Source organism: Homo sapiens, chromosome 19 (assembly GCF_000001405.40).
Source record: "Homo sapiens chromosome 19, GRCh38.p14 Primary Assembly".
Classification (NCBI taxonomy): Eukaryota; Metazoa; Chordata; class Mammalia; order Primates; family Hominidae; genus Homo; species Homo sapiens.
In genome coordinates, this window is record NC_000019.10 from 29,078,867 (window position 1) to 29,093,659 (window position 14,793).

The 14,793-nt window shown below is 48.2% G+C and overlaps 1 long non-coding RNA gene across 1 annotated transcript, besides 1 other annotated feature; it reads right to left on the reverse strand.

Moving 5' to 3' along the window:
- Window positions 1–4,227: 4,227 nt before the first annotated feature.
- Window positions 4,228–14,185, reverse strand: LOC124904682 (uncharacterized). Its single transcript, XR_007067213.1, has 2 exons — window positions 14,028–14,185; window positions 4,228–5,700 (listed from the first exon to the last, which is right to left on the reverse strand). It is a non-coding gene; the product is annotated as an uncharacterized LOC124904682 (long non-coding RNA).
- Window positions 7,436–7,937: an enhancer, noted in NCBI's record as "H3K4me1 hESC enhancer chr19:29577209-29577710 (GRCh37/hg19 assembly coordinates)". NCBI's record gives its function as "activates a minimal SCP1, AML or CMV promoter by ChIP-STARR-seq in primed H9 embryonic stem cells {active_cell/tissue: H9 hESC(primed)}" and the evidence as "EXISTENCE:reporter gene assay evidence [ECO:0000049][PMID:30033119]".
- Window positions 14,186–14,793: the final 608 nt, after the last annotated feature.

Sequence of the window (14,793 nt, forward strand, 5' to 3'; positions counted from 1 at the left end):
TTTCATTAACTTCATGAAATTCTTCTCTAAGATCTGTAATTTTACTTTAAGCAGTTTGCATTTTGTAGTCAGAGGTTTACAGCAGCCAACAAGGAGCAGGAAGTGGAGTGGAGAAAAACGTTAGTATGACAAAGTTGGAGACAGACAGACCAGCAGTAACACAGGAGGGATGTTTCAGAGGAGACTAGTTTTATAAGGCCCAGAATATCACTCTATTCTAGCTTCTCAAAAGATTAATTATCAGATAATAATGACCTGTCCCCCTACACCAGATGAGACTTGCTCCTAACAGAACATTTAAAGTTTCAGGTAAATTATCTTTCCAAGTGCTGTCTTTGTATTAGTTCCTGGAGTTGATGAAGGTGGTCAGACCAGAGACATTTATGAAGTACTTACATAATTCTTGGCATGCTTTCAATGTTTAAGACTTGTCATAGTCCCCATGTATTGATCTAAACTCAGGAATGCAAAAGCTATTCTCAAGGGAGCCTGGTAAGAGATTGTGTCTGCTGCACAGGTCCAGCCCCAGCCCCTAAATTAATCCCGCTCAATTCAAAGCCTCCTTTCTTCCAAGTTAGAAGTGACAGGCCAGGTCCTCTCTCATACAAGCAGCTCTCAGGAGGGCTCCAGCTGAGAAACTTGCTGTCTCATTTGTTTCTCGAACACACGCCCCATGGAATGCATGTGTCATTTCTGTAGCATAAGGAATGTGCCCGCACTTCATGCCTCCTGTCTGTTCGTTAGTTCGTAATTAAGTATGCACAGCTACAGATGTGTCGCGGAAAGACATCATCCGAGTCTTGACAAAGAACCAAAATTATTCATATAATTTATCATCCCAGCCATCTTGAATGCTAACGAGAACCGTCCTTGATTGGAATTGTCAAGAAACATTTGCACCCATGTCCTATCAGGGAGCATTTCCTCCGCCAGATGCTGCCTTTCATACCAACGACAAAGACTCTCTCGTGCTTTCTCCCTGGCCTTTACAGAAACCAAATGCAATAAAACAAGCAGTTCTCCCTTCCCCCTTTTCTCTGATGCACAGTTTTCCAAAGGGCTTGCAGTTTTCAGGTTTTCTGGTGAGGGGCATTGCAATTGTTAGCTTGTTCTTTAAAGCCTGTTGTGAGAGCAGTAACACAGATCTGTCTAACACATGTTCCTAGCATCAGAGTCCAGGGATAGGTACTTAGATGCAAGATTCTTTTCTGCTCTTAGATGCAAGATTCTCTTCTGCCCAGAAGGAAATTCAGGAGTGTGGAAACCACTGGCTGTTTGACCCAGGTCCACCCAAAAGTGACCCAGTTTTGGAGAACTGGCTTGCTTTGGGGTTTTGCTCAGATATGAGGACACACTCCCAAATGTCATTTTTAGAGGTGGTGGCACATTTAGGAGACTGAAGAGTCAGTGTTCTGTTACCGGGATGAAAAGGAAGAAGCAATGCATTTGGAACATATTGGAAGGAAGAGATATAGCTCCCTGGGAAGAGCCTTCAATTTCCAAGCCCTCTTTGCATCCTTAGGGACAGTATCAGTGCTTCTTTGGGAAAAAGGAGAGATCTGTCTACTTATTGTTTTGTGCACTCCCCAAGCCTGCTGTATGTCCATCTGCAACACTAACTTTTAATTCATCAAGATAAGTAGGTTTTGAATGTAGCATTTTGTCCTCATATTCAGTGTTCATAAGTTAATCTGCAAATTGTTGTTTTGATTGGAAAATGCATTAAGCACAAACCCATCTGATTATCCCTGGGCTAGAGGCTTGGTCAGACCCCCAGGAAGAGGGCTGGGGTCAGAGAGGTCTGACAATGAAATCTGTTGCAGAGAGCTCTGGTGGGCTCCAGTTCTCAGCACCAGAGTTGTGCAAGGCTTGGGGTGGTCTGGAAAAGCTTCAGAAAGGTTACCTTGTGAAGTGTTCTAGGAACTCTGAAAGAGACTGGATAGAACTGAATGTTCACACAGGAAGTGGTTATCTCCCTGTAAGTGTGTATTATTATAATTGGCCAACTTTTTCACTTCGTTACCCAGCAGGAGAAACAGCATACACCAACTTCACTAGACTTTTGCTTTCAAAGACTCCCTACTCACATAACCCGTCAATCCACCTGGCTGTTTCAGAGGTAACTTCATTGTAGAGATGGAGAGCCTGAGACTGGAAGGTAAGACCAAGATGCACAATTCTCTCTCAATTTCTTCTTTATCTTTCCCACTTTCCTACTTTCCTACATCAGCAGGCAGTGGCATCACAGCCTTATCCTCCCTCAGAACCTAAATCAGACTTATCAGATGATTCTGAGGGTTCAGTTAACCCTGAAATTTCCAGACAGACCACTGCTCCCCCATAGAGTATCTGGGGTCATGGGTAGCTCTGCTTTTAAGCATTCTATCCCTCATTCACTGAGGTCCAGATATTAAATCAGCACTCAAGATAGTAGAGAGAACAGGATCCCACCATACCCACAGCAATTTTAAGGGTGGCATGGAAATCTGCCTCATGGAGGTCTGAAGTGCAAAGTACATGTATGTGGGAGAGGCAGATGGAGACAGGAATGATATGTTTTATTAAGATAGGAAAATGTGGATAAATAAGTGAGCTCACTCATAATCCTTTCCCAAAGGAAAGTCATAAGGCTAGACAAATTCATGCATGTTTGGTATAAAGCAAAAATTAGAAACTTTCTTATCAAAAGACACCATAAAACACAAAGGTAGGAATATGAAGCCACCAACTGGGAAAAAATGTTTGCATATATATAATTGGCAGAGGATTAGTATATAATACAAATAAAGAACCCTTAAACAGGTGGGGCGTGGTGGCTCACGCCTGTAATCCCAGCACTTTGGGAGGCCAAGGTGAGTGGATAATGAGGTCCAGAGATGAGACCATCCTGGCCAATGTGGTGAAACCCTGTCTCTACTAAAAATACAAAAATTAGCTGGGCATGGTGGTGCGTGCCTGCAATCCCAGCTACTGGGGAGGCAGAAGAAGTGCTTCAACCAGGTAGTCCAAGGTTGCAGTGAGCCAAGATCGCACCACTGCACTCCAGCCTGGTGACAGAGCAAGACTCTGTCTCGGGGAAAAAAAAAAAAAAGTACCCTTAAACAAATGAGAAAATGTCGTGGGAAAATGGCATGAGCAGTCAATTTCATAGAAGATAAAACATGAATGGCCCAGAAACATGTAAAAAGTGCTTAACCAGGTGGGAAGTTAAGAAAATACAATAAAAGACAATTTTACTCCTACCAGACAGGGAAAACTGTGAAGTCTGACAACTTCAAGTGTAGGTAAGGAAGAAGAGCAACAGAAATTCTCATGCACTGATGATGGGATAGCATATTGATACAACCTCCTTGAAAAATCATTTGTTATTACCTAGTAAGTTAAATATGCACCTACTGTCTAACCAAGCAATTCCACTCTTTAAGTATATACTGTAGGAGTCGTTCTTAATGCAGGCATTACCACACCCTAGAGGGAGTCTTGGAAGCCTGCAAATGTCACAATGAGTAAAGAGTGCTACTGGCATTTAGTAAGTAGAGCAAGGAATGCTAAACATCATATGGTTTCTGGGGCATTTCCGCCTAAAGATGAATTAGCCTGCATTGCACATGACTACATGTGGGACCACATAATTTATGCAAGTGAATGTCTGTTGATACTTACCTGATCCTGCAATCTAACTCTAACTTTATTTTACATATAAACAGTTAAAAAAAAAACTCAAATGCATTGTTTTCCTGTCTTTAACATATTGAATTTTTCAGGAAGGCAACCACTTTTCTGAAAAATATTCCTTTTATTGAAGGGATATTGTGCTTTCTGTTGTTATTGTTGTTTAGAACTTTACCAAGAATTGATTAACATTATAGAAAATCATTTCTCTGCTGGGAATCTCGTACGTGGTATTTGGGCTATCAACCCAAAACACCTATGACTGTTTGCATTTGTAGCTGGAACAATCATGGTAATTCTACCCACAGGTGCAAACATCTGACATTGTTATTCTAGCTTCTGATGTAATTGTTCCTCAAATTTTACATACTGGTCCAACCACCTTTTATTATAAATTGCTTTGTCTTATTTCTTTTTTATATCACATTCAGAGCATTACATTGATTTCTTAAAATTCTGTGGGTAAGTGGGTTATAGTACATGATCTATAGTATAGATAGATAGCATTCTATCTATACTATAGATAAAATCTATACCATAGATAGCACTTACCCATAGAATTTCAAGAATTTTATTTCAAGATAGTAAAAAGAACATCACAAAATACTTGTCAGAAGGGTGGTGCTGGTGTTGAGAATAATAATTCTTTTGGGGTATATGTACCCCAAAGCCATGTACAAAAGGGTTAACAGCAGCATGACTAATAAAAGCAAAAAAAGGCAAAAAAAAAAAAAGAAAAAAAAGAAAACCCAAAACTCTGAAAACAACCAAAGTAACCATTAACAGCAAACTGGATAAATGCATGTTATGAAATACTATATAGCAGTGAAATAAATTAACAGTTATATTCATTATGATGGGTAAATTTCTGAAAGCATAATATGGAGCAAAAACAGCATATTGCAAAACACATATATAGAGTGGAAACATTTAAATTTCAGTTTCAGAAATGGGCATGACTAAATATCCTATTTAGGAACACACGCAGTTTGTGAAAGCTATGCAGAAAATTGAAGAACAGTGAACACAAACTCCAGGGTAATGGTTACCTGGAAGGGGAGGGATGAGTCTGGGAGGGGCACATGGGATGATGTTTTCTTTCTTAAACTGGATAGTAGGTTCACGACTGCTCATTTTATTATTTTAAACTATAAAAATATTACATACCTTTTAAGACAGAACATATTTCACAATTTAAAAACTTTTAAAAATCAGAACCTCCCAATCTATCCAAGCCTTTAGTTGACTGGACTTTTTAAAAATCCCATCTTAGCTTGTTCCAAGGATTGGCAGAAAGACAAATGAAACTGCCAGGTCTCTTCTGGGTTTAGTACGTACTCTTTGTAGCACTATGTCCTGGCACCTGTCTGGGGACGTCTGGCCAGGGGACACTGTTGATGCCGGAATGAATCATCATGTTGATGTTGGAATGGGTCTCAGCATCCCTGCAGCCTCCCAAAGGGGCTATCCAGCCTCTGGACACCATGGGGGCTAGCATCTGGGAGAATTCTTGCAGCAGAATCAGAGGAAGGGTTGCCGTTGCCATGAGAATGCAGTCGCATCTCAGGGGAGTTCTGACTGAGTTCCTTGGCCCTGAGTGATCCATTCTCTACCTCTAATGGGTCACCTGTCCTCCTCCATTGCTTCTAATGTCAACTGCACAGGTGCCCAGGCTTACAGAGGCTCCACCAACCCCTAAGGCTGCGGGGTGGAGACCAGGTTTGGCAAGGCAGATATCATTTTATTTGAGGGATTTTGACTAAACGGGAAGAGGGAGAAGCTGCATATTCAGAATGAAAATGAGAGCTGATAACAGTGCCTTCAGCGGGCTAGCCACTTGCTGGGTTCTAGAACACCGCAGGGATGACAATTCTCAACCTGAAGAACTCAGGCTCCCCCGGGATCAAATCCCCATGCACTGCAAGCTTCTCGCCAGCAGGGGCTGTGTCTCCATGCCCTGGTCCCTGGCGCTGAGCTTGGCCAATTCTAGGTGGTTGCAGTCTTGAAGGAGGCACATTGAAGAAGTAGCTGAAAGAGGAAGGCAGAGCAGATCTAATAAATGACAAATCGGTGGTTCAGACACTGCGAGCAAAACAAAGACCTCACGTTGGGTTAGAGAGGCCTGAAAGGGTCTCCTGTAGAAGCAGAACTAGAAAGAAAGGTGGGTATGAGACGGGTGCAGAAGGAGGGGCTGGGGTCGGGGACATCGGGGTGTGGAAATAGAGAAGAAAGACTAGGAGGTGGGCAGACACGGGGAGCTGCCAGGCATGAGGGGCAGGCAGCTCTTGCAGTCGATGGGTGACATGTTGGCTACTGCCACATCTTGGGGGCCTTAGATGCTGCACTGAGGGTCCCCGGTGTAGTTTTGCAGGCAACAAGGAGTTGTAAACGATGTTTTTGTGTCCCGTCCCTGGCCCAGCTCAGACTTCAGCTGCAACTCTCCTGCCAGGGTCAGCTCCCACCTCAAGCACCTTCTGAATTTCTGTACTTTTCCTCCCTGGGCCCTTCCCCATCTCTGTGGAGCTCCCTCTGCTGCTTCCAGCAAAACCCAGAAGTGCAGCAGAGTTTTTGGCCTGGGTGGGAACACATGCCCAGGCCCCATGCTGCAGAGTGGGCATGTCCTAGGCACGGAGGAGCAGGTTTTCAGAGGCAGCTCACAGAACTGAGCCCCAGTGGCCGCAGGGGTGCTGGCTCCAGAAGGCACGCTGGTGGGACATTCTCCCCTTTCCAGTAGGCTGCCTGCTCCCTCACTCTGCCCCACCTCTCAGGTCCTGGCCTCTGGCCTAGGTTTCAGGGAAACCCGCAAGGGAGGAGGGGCCTTGGACATCCAGGGGAGGGAGGCTCCTGGAGATGTAGCCAACAGAGATGAAACTGTGAGGAGAGAAGGACAGTCAGAGGCCGCCAAGGGCTGTGATGCGGGCAGGGCAGGAGGCAGTTGAGGTTAGAGACAGACACAGCCAGACAGAGACAGGGAGACAGAGAGAGACAGAGACAAGATAGAGAAACAGAGAGAGACTGCCAGAGACAGGGCCAGACAGTGAGAAGACAGAGACAGACAGAGAGAGGGACAGATGGACAGAGAGAGGCAGAGACAGGGAAAGATAGATCCAAAGTGACAGAAACAGAGGAAGACAGAGACTGGGACAGACAAATAGAAGACAGAGAGACAGAGAGTAACAGACGGCCAGAGAGAGACAGAGACAGAGAGAGTGACAGAGGGCCAGAGAGAGGCAGACACAAGGAAAGATAGACCAAAAGAGATTGAAACAGAGAAACAGAGACTGGGACAGACAATGAGAAGACGAGAGACAGAGACACAGAGAGAAAGAAAGAGATGGAGAGACAGAGACAGAGAGTGACAGACAGACAGAGAGTGACAGAGAGACAGCCAGAAGAGAGACAGAGAAACAGACAGAAAGAGGCAGAGACGAGAAAGAGAAACATGGAGAGACAGAGAAACAGAGAGCAACAGAGACAAAGAGACAGACAGAGACAGGGACAGACAGTGAGGAGACAGGGAGAGACAAGCACACAGAGAGAGGTGCCAAGCAGGCTGGAGCTCTGGAGCTTCCAGAGGCCTGGGCAGGTTCAGCTCTGGAGAGACACTGCAGCTTCCCTGGCGAGGCAGGGCTGTGGGCACTGGGCTGTCCATTGTAGGGTGGCAGTGCTGGTTCTGCCTGTGGGGTGGCTCCAGCCTGGCTCCTGGGATGGTGGCAGCCCCAGGGGACTGCCTCATTCTGCCACCTGCCCATTCCCTGGCTCTCCTTCACCTTTGTCCCTCACCGGCAGCAGAAGCACAGATGGCTGTTCCGTCATCCAGCACGTGCTGCGGTGCATGTCACAGGGCAAGGTGCTGAGCAGCTGTCTGGTCCCCAACACCTGGTGACACCTTCACAAGCACATAAATCACACTCATCTTGACCAACACAAACACATTCACATGGGACAGATACTAATGTTAATGTTTAACCTGGAAAGAGCCATACCCAGCGCAATCGGTGGTGCTCAGGTCCTGGAATGAGGCAGCCACGGGGAACCCTGGTGCACAGGGACCTAAATGGAATCACTAGTGAGTGGTGACCACGGTCCACCCCGTCTCTCACTCCCCTGATTTCACACCCTAGGCAAGGCACTGAGCCTGGGTTTCCTCTTCTGTGGACTGGGAACAGCCCAGAAAATTGCTGTGGGCCTCTAGAGGGGTCATGCATGGGACACAGTGAGCCTGGGCCTGCCGCACAGACATGCCCCGTGGAAGGTGGCTTTTCTGGCGGCTCAGGCTCAACCATACCCCTGCTGCCTTGGCAGGCTTTCTCAGTTCTGCGTAGCTGTCCAACACTCCGACCACTGTATGCGGCTCAGTCTCCACTTCTGTGAGATGCTCTGTGACCTGGTAGGACCGGCCACCCCTCCGAGCCCCACACGCTGCCCTGTACCGAAGCTTTGTTGCATACAATTGCAAATCTGTAAATGTCACTGTGTCCAGTGGGCCTTCATTGACTGGCCCTGTGTGATATTTTATTTTGCCCTGGTTCATTTTCTTCAGAACCTTTATTACGACTTGCAATGAGCTACTTTTTTTTTTTCTCCATCTCTGGTACTAGATGCTGACTCCAGGGTGGTGGCCGGGAGGTTCTTTGTTTTAGTTCCAGATCTCCAGAAACAGACCTGAGACAAAAATCTGGGTGCACCCAAGACAGAAATCTTGGGTGGGAGGTGATCCCAGGAGGCCTGTGAGGGAGCAGGAAACCAGGTGGGAGGAGAGAGACCAGGGTCCCACCGTGGGTACCAGGACTCATCTGCTCAGGAGAGAGGCTGTGTGAGACACACCTCCAAGGTGTCCTACTCCAGAGGTGAGGAAGCCAGTATTTATTTACCAGGCCCCGGATTATCTCAGCATCTGGACATCTGTGCCAGGTGGGCACCTGCCCCTCCCCTGAGGGGATGCCTTCCCACCCCTCCTCACTCCGGCCTCCACGGATCTTCTCACTTCTCTTGGGGTGACGATACTATTGTGTCTGCCTTCCAGTCTCTTTTGGTCTCTGGGCACACAGCTCAGGAGTGGCTCCTGAGGACAGGCCCCGCACCCGGGGAGGGGAGGCAGATGCCGCACTCAAAGACCTGTCCCCAAGAAGTGCTCCATGAACAGGATTTGGGGAAAAAAATAAACTCCAGGGTGACAAGAGCTAGAAGAAGGATTGAGGACTATTCCATGGGGTCACCTAGATCTGGGGGTGGGAGAAGCAAGGAAGGCGTCTCCAAGGAGGGGCAAGGGCCTGGGTGTGAAATCACACAGGATCTGTCCCCACATGAAGGAGAAGGAGACAGGGAGATGCGGCTGGAGGAACAACATGGATGGAGTCTGTGGGGCCAGGGGGAACAAGGCATATCCAAGGACAGCTAGAGGGTGCAGTGGGGGGCCTGGAGGGAGGGAGGCAGCAGGAGCTCGGTGGGGCCTTGGCCACAGTCTAGGTACTTGGGATCAGGCCTGTGGTTGCCTGTGAGCTGCTGAGGAACCTTACCTGGTAGGTGATGTGATAGGAAATGCTTGATTTAAGACGTTGATCTGTTTGGCAGCCTTTGGAAGGAGGGCGGGAGGGCGCGTGAAGGGACACAGATGCCCCAGCCACGGGGTGGCAGGTAGATTTAGGTGAGAGGTGGGAGGTCCTTGTCTGAAGCCATCTTGGGGATGGAGAGGAGAGAGGCAAATGTGGACACTCAGCCCTGGGCCCAAGAAGATGTTCCACTCTACATGGAGAGACAGGGTAAGGAGAGGTAATTCCCGGCTGAGGGGGCACCGAGCAAGGGCATGGAGGTGGGAGAGCCCAGGAATGGCGGGAGCCTTCTGCTGTGCTGCCGAGTGTGGTCACGATGAAGACTGACATCCGGAGTGTTTAGAAACCACCGCAGCCATTTGACAGAGTCATGGAGTATGACTGTTCAATCCAATAACATGAAATTGGGGGCTTGTATTTTGTATGGCTTTTCTTTTAATTTCATTTTTCTCATAATTCAAGTTTTATTGAATTCTGCAAAAATATTGGCCCGTGACTGATGGGAAACAAAACACCTGGTCTTTCTCTGCAGCTGGTGGGGGTTGGGGTGGGAGGCGCGGGTTGAAGTGCCCTCCCCATCAGCTCCCATAACTCTGCCTCATCCCAGAGTTTTATTTTTTCTTCATGCCAGAAAAGTCCCTCCCCACACTGATGCCAGCAAGCCAAGCAGGATGTCCCCACCCCCAACGCTCTGTCCCCAGATTCTCCTAGCCCCAAAGACATATCTTAGCTCAGATGAGGTAGAGACCCCCTCACCCCAGCTCAGGCTGAAAGCGAATATTGTTCAGTCTCTTATCCCTGGGGCCAAGCCCGTGTAGGAGGATTGTGTGGTGACCGCAGCTGGCGGCTCCCAACCTCCAGTCCCTGCTGTCGGCGGCCAAGGCCTTGGAGGTCATTAATGTGGATCGGCACTAATGGATTCTCTGTGCTGGCTTTGTCCCCCAGCGCTATTTTTAACTCATTTTGGACTTTGAATTGTCCAAATGCATTTTGATGTGTTTGTGAGAAAGGACATAAATAAACCCTTGAGTGTTGTTTCTGTGCAGCTCCTCAGAAACCAACTTCTCATGGCTCTATTTGCTTTGCTGAGAGCTGAGCATTTCCTGCAACTTACCAAGATGGGCTGAGGCCTGCCCAGCTTCCAGAGTGGCACCTCCACATGTACTCATTTCAGTGCCACTAACCAAAGCAGTGCCCATTCTCCTGGTAGAGTTTCAGGGGGACCCCCTCTCACCCCTGATCAAAGAGCATGGCAGCCCAGTAGCTGAGTACCTCCTGTGTACAGGCACCTGGGAGCTTACGATGGGGCAGGCACTGTGGGAAAAGCAAAATCAGAGGCCGACAGTCCCGTCTCCAAGATCCTTCAGTGAACTGCGGTGACTGTGAACACACAGGAAACCAAGAGGTACACGCCCACAGGCCAACCCCTGGTTTGGGGACAGCCAGGCATTTATGAACACATTCTTCAGGCAGTGTTTGGCCTGAATACATGTGCTGAGTCCCTGCCTGTTATCTGAAGCCTGCTCAAAGGCAGCTAAGATGGAAGATGTGGCAGGTGGCTGTGCAGGCAGCATATGCCACAAGCCACAGCTGTCTCTTTGACAGTGGCCAGGGCTTCCTTATATGAGCAGTTCCCTAAGTCACTCAGGTCTGGAGGCCAGGGATTCTGGCCATGCTTCTCATCTTGGCCGGGCCCCCAGTGCAGCGTGGGCCTAAACCATGTTCTGGATTCCTTTAAACACCTCCTGAGCGCTTGGTGTGCTCAGGACTTGAGCCAGCCTTGGGGTCACTGAGGGAGTAGAGTCCAGCTTGTGTCTGGGAAGGTCTCCTGTTGGCAGAGGAGAAGGTCCTGAGCTGTGGACACCAGTACAGGGCCGTGGTCCAGCCTTTGGTGCTGCAAAGAACCCCACCTAAGTCACTCAGACATGACACTGTCTTGAAGACGGAGAATGAGGAATGGAGCCAGCCTCAAATGTAGGAGAGGCGCTAACTCAATATCTCCAATCAGAAGAAATCAGAAGGTTCCTTATTTCAAAAATCTCTACACATCAAATGCCGTGATTGGCCCAATGGCTCACCAGTCTTCAGATCAAGTGTAGCCTGAGTGTTCTTTTAAAGTGTGGCTTTCTAGTATAGAGAATCTCCATGTCCCATCACATTGGTTTGGATGTGTTTATCAGGCTCATTCATCTCTCATGAGAACGTGTAGAGTTTAAAAATCTCTAAAGAAATCCCTGGACGTAAGCTGGTGTCTTGGGCTTGGGTAGTACCAGATAAAACGAAAACACAGACAGATTTAACATGCTTAGGGGCAAGCATTTCCAGGACTTGGGGATTTATTGGGTTGGGAGTGAGAGGGAGGAAGACACTGACTATGATTCCTGGCTTCCATCCTGGGCCCCCTGCAAATGGTGATTATGAAGATGGTGGGTTGGATAGGAGGTTCTGAGTTCCACTTTCAGCATGCTCACTCTAAGTGGCTGAGACGATGGCCAGTGAAGAGTGTTGGGTCTAGAAGCCTGAAGCTACAGGTCCGGCTATGGAGCTGGATTTGGATGTGGTTGGCACAGAGAGGACACGAGGCCATGGGAGTAAAGAAAATCTGCAGAGTGCGACCAGTATAAACAGAGCCGCATGCATTTTGCCCTGGAAATTCTCCTTCTAAAAATGTATTCCAAGGAAATCATCAGAAATGTGCAGGAGGGGAGGCTTAAGGATAATCATGGCAGAGTTATTTGTGCTTATAAAAACTGGAAGTACCCAAAATTTCCAACAAGAAGGGCAAAGTTGGATTTTGTTCCAAAGCATGGAATACAACCTAGCCACAATTACATCGGTCCATCGTGGTGTGGAATGCTCAAGTGCTGGGAGGAGCAAGCCAGTTCCAGGAATGCACAGGAGGCAATGGGTTTGTGTAGGCATGTGTGCATACTCACACAGAAAACATCCTGGAAGGTTACACACTGAAATGTTAGTTCCGATGATCTGTGAGTGGTAAATTTCAAGATGAATTGGGATTTTCTCATTTTCTTCTTTCCTATATATTTTTTTCTTTACATTGATTCTGAGCCTCTTTTAATGAGGAAAAAAAATGTTTTGGGTAAAGCCTCCCTTTTGGTTCACTAGAGACAGCACCACAGCAGAGCTGGGAACAGTTGTTTAAACATCCCCCTCCCTGACTTTACCTTGGGTAAATGGGCCTCTGAAGAAATTCCACTGAGAGGCCCCCTGCCCTCACATTACATTGTCAATTTCATCCTGAGCACTCTGCGTAAATACCATTCCAGAGCATTAGGTCGCAGCCATTAGCATGGCAGTTATGTGCCAGCTTTTCCTCTCAGTTTACAGCCCTTATCATCTGCAACTCTGCTTTAAGAACTTAAAATTATGGTCCGACCGTAGCCTACATAAACATTCAAGAAAGTCTTACCATTTGGAGAGCTGTAAAATGAATCTGACAGTGTGACACTCACGTGCAGCTTCATAAAGTGCATGCTAACGAATCAGCTGTCCTGTCTTCCCAGAAGCCCCCAGAGCTTCCAGGAGCCAATGTCTCCTTGGAGCAATGCTCAGGAGCCATTGAGGCCAGGCACAAGCACAGCCTGCACAGCCACTCATGCTGCTTTTCTTGGGATGGAAAACCAGGGCCTTTTCTGGACTCTAACAGCATCGAGTTATAGCTCAAAAGTTGCTCAAAGTATCCTCTGCCTTAATGATCCCAGTATCTAAACTGAAGCTTCCTAAACTTCCCAAATTAAAGACCCTTCCCATTGCCACCTGCCACCAGCAGCACTGATGAAATGCCCTCTGGCACTGAAACCATCGGTGTTTGGCATAAACACAATGAAATTCTTGTTTGCCTCCAAAGTGTCTTATAAAAGCTTATCCCTCTTAGACCATGGTCCCATTCTCCTGACAATGTAGATGGTACAAAAAGCAGCCATCCATCCCGAGGGGCTGGCCCAGATCACACATCATGGATGGCCTGTGGTTCTGATCCAGCCTGCAGTGGCACCATTGCATATTTACATTTTGGATTTTTACTAATTTATTTATTTATCTGTTTTTTCGAGACAGGATCACCCTTGGTTGCCCAGGTTGGAGTGCAGTGGCATTATTATCACAGCTCATTGCAGCCTCCAACTCTTGAGCTCAAATGATCCTCCCACCTCAGGCTCCTAAGTAGCTGGGACTTACAAGCACGTGCCACCATGCCTGGCTAATTAAAAAAAAATTTTTTTTGTAGAGACAGGGTCTCACTATGTTGTCCAGGCTGGTCTTGAACTCCTGAGCAAAAGCAAAAGCAAAAGCAAATGCCTGGGCCTCCTAAAGCTCTGAAATTACAGGCGTGAGCCACCACACCTGACCCTTCACCAACATTTTTAAAACTTAGAGATTTCACAGAAAAACCACAACATTCATTCTCTTGAGAAAATTGAGAAGATGTGAAACACTGGGCACTTTCGCAGCTGCTGCACCTTTTAGACAAAGCATATGCTTCCCTTCGACTGCTGTGCAATGGACCAAATGCTTGTGCCACACCCACCCCCCCACCCAAAGTTCACATGCTGAAATCCTAACTCCCAAGGTGATGACATTGGAGCTGCGGCCTTCAGTAGATAAGCAGGTCATGGGGGTGTGAAACCTCATAAATGGGATTAGCGCCCTTACAAAAGAGACCCCCGCCCCCACCTAAAGAGCTCCCTCCCTGTCTTCCTGCCATGTGAAGATGCAACAAGAAATCAGCTGCCTGCAACCCGAAAGAGGGCCCTCACCAAAACCTGAGCACGCTGGCACCCTGACCTTGGACTTGTAGCCTCCAGAGCTGCGAGAAATAATGGTTGCTTGTTAGAGCCACTCAGGGTATGGCACTTTGCTGTAGCAGCCCGAACTGACCAGGATACCCTGCCTACCTGGCCCATTTCAGCCCTGAACTGACCAGGATGCCCCGCCTACGCGCCCGTTTCAGCCCGGAACTGACCAGGATGCCCCGCCTACGCGGCCCGTTTCAGCCCGGAACTGACCAGGATGCCCCGCCTACGTGGCCCGTTTCAGCCCTGAACTGACCAGGATGACCCGCCTACGCGGCCGTTTCAGCCCTGAACTGACGAGGATGCCCCGCCTACGCGGCCCATTTCAGCCCTGAACTGACCAGGATGACCCACCTACGCGGGCGGCCCGTTTCAGCCCTGAACTGACGAGGATGCCCCGCCTGCCCCGCATATTTCAACCCTGAACTGACCAGGATGCCCCGCCTACTCGGCCCGTTTCAGCCCTGAACTGACCAGGAGGCCCCGCCTGCCTGAACTGTTTCAGTCCTGAACTGCCTGGACTGTTTCAGCCCTGAACTGACCAGGACGCACCGCCTGCCTGGACTGTTTCAGTCCTGATTGATGCCTGTGCAGCTTTGGGAGGCATGACCGCACCTCCTCCTCCCTACACACCCCAGTGGGGGAAGAGGAGAGAAAATACGCCTCTTCCCTGGCTCTTCGCTGGAGTCTTAGTGATTTGGTGGAGATTTCCAAGGACAGGCCTCCGGGAGCTCAGCGCCGCCCTCCTGTTACTGGGC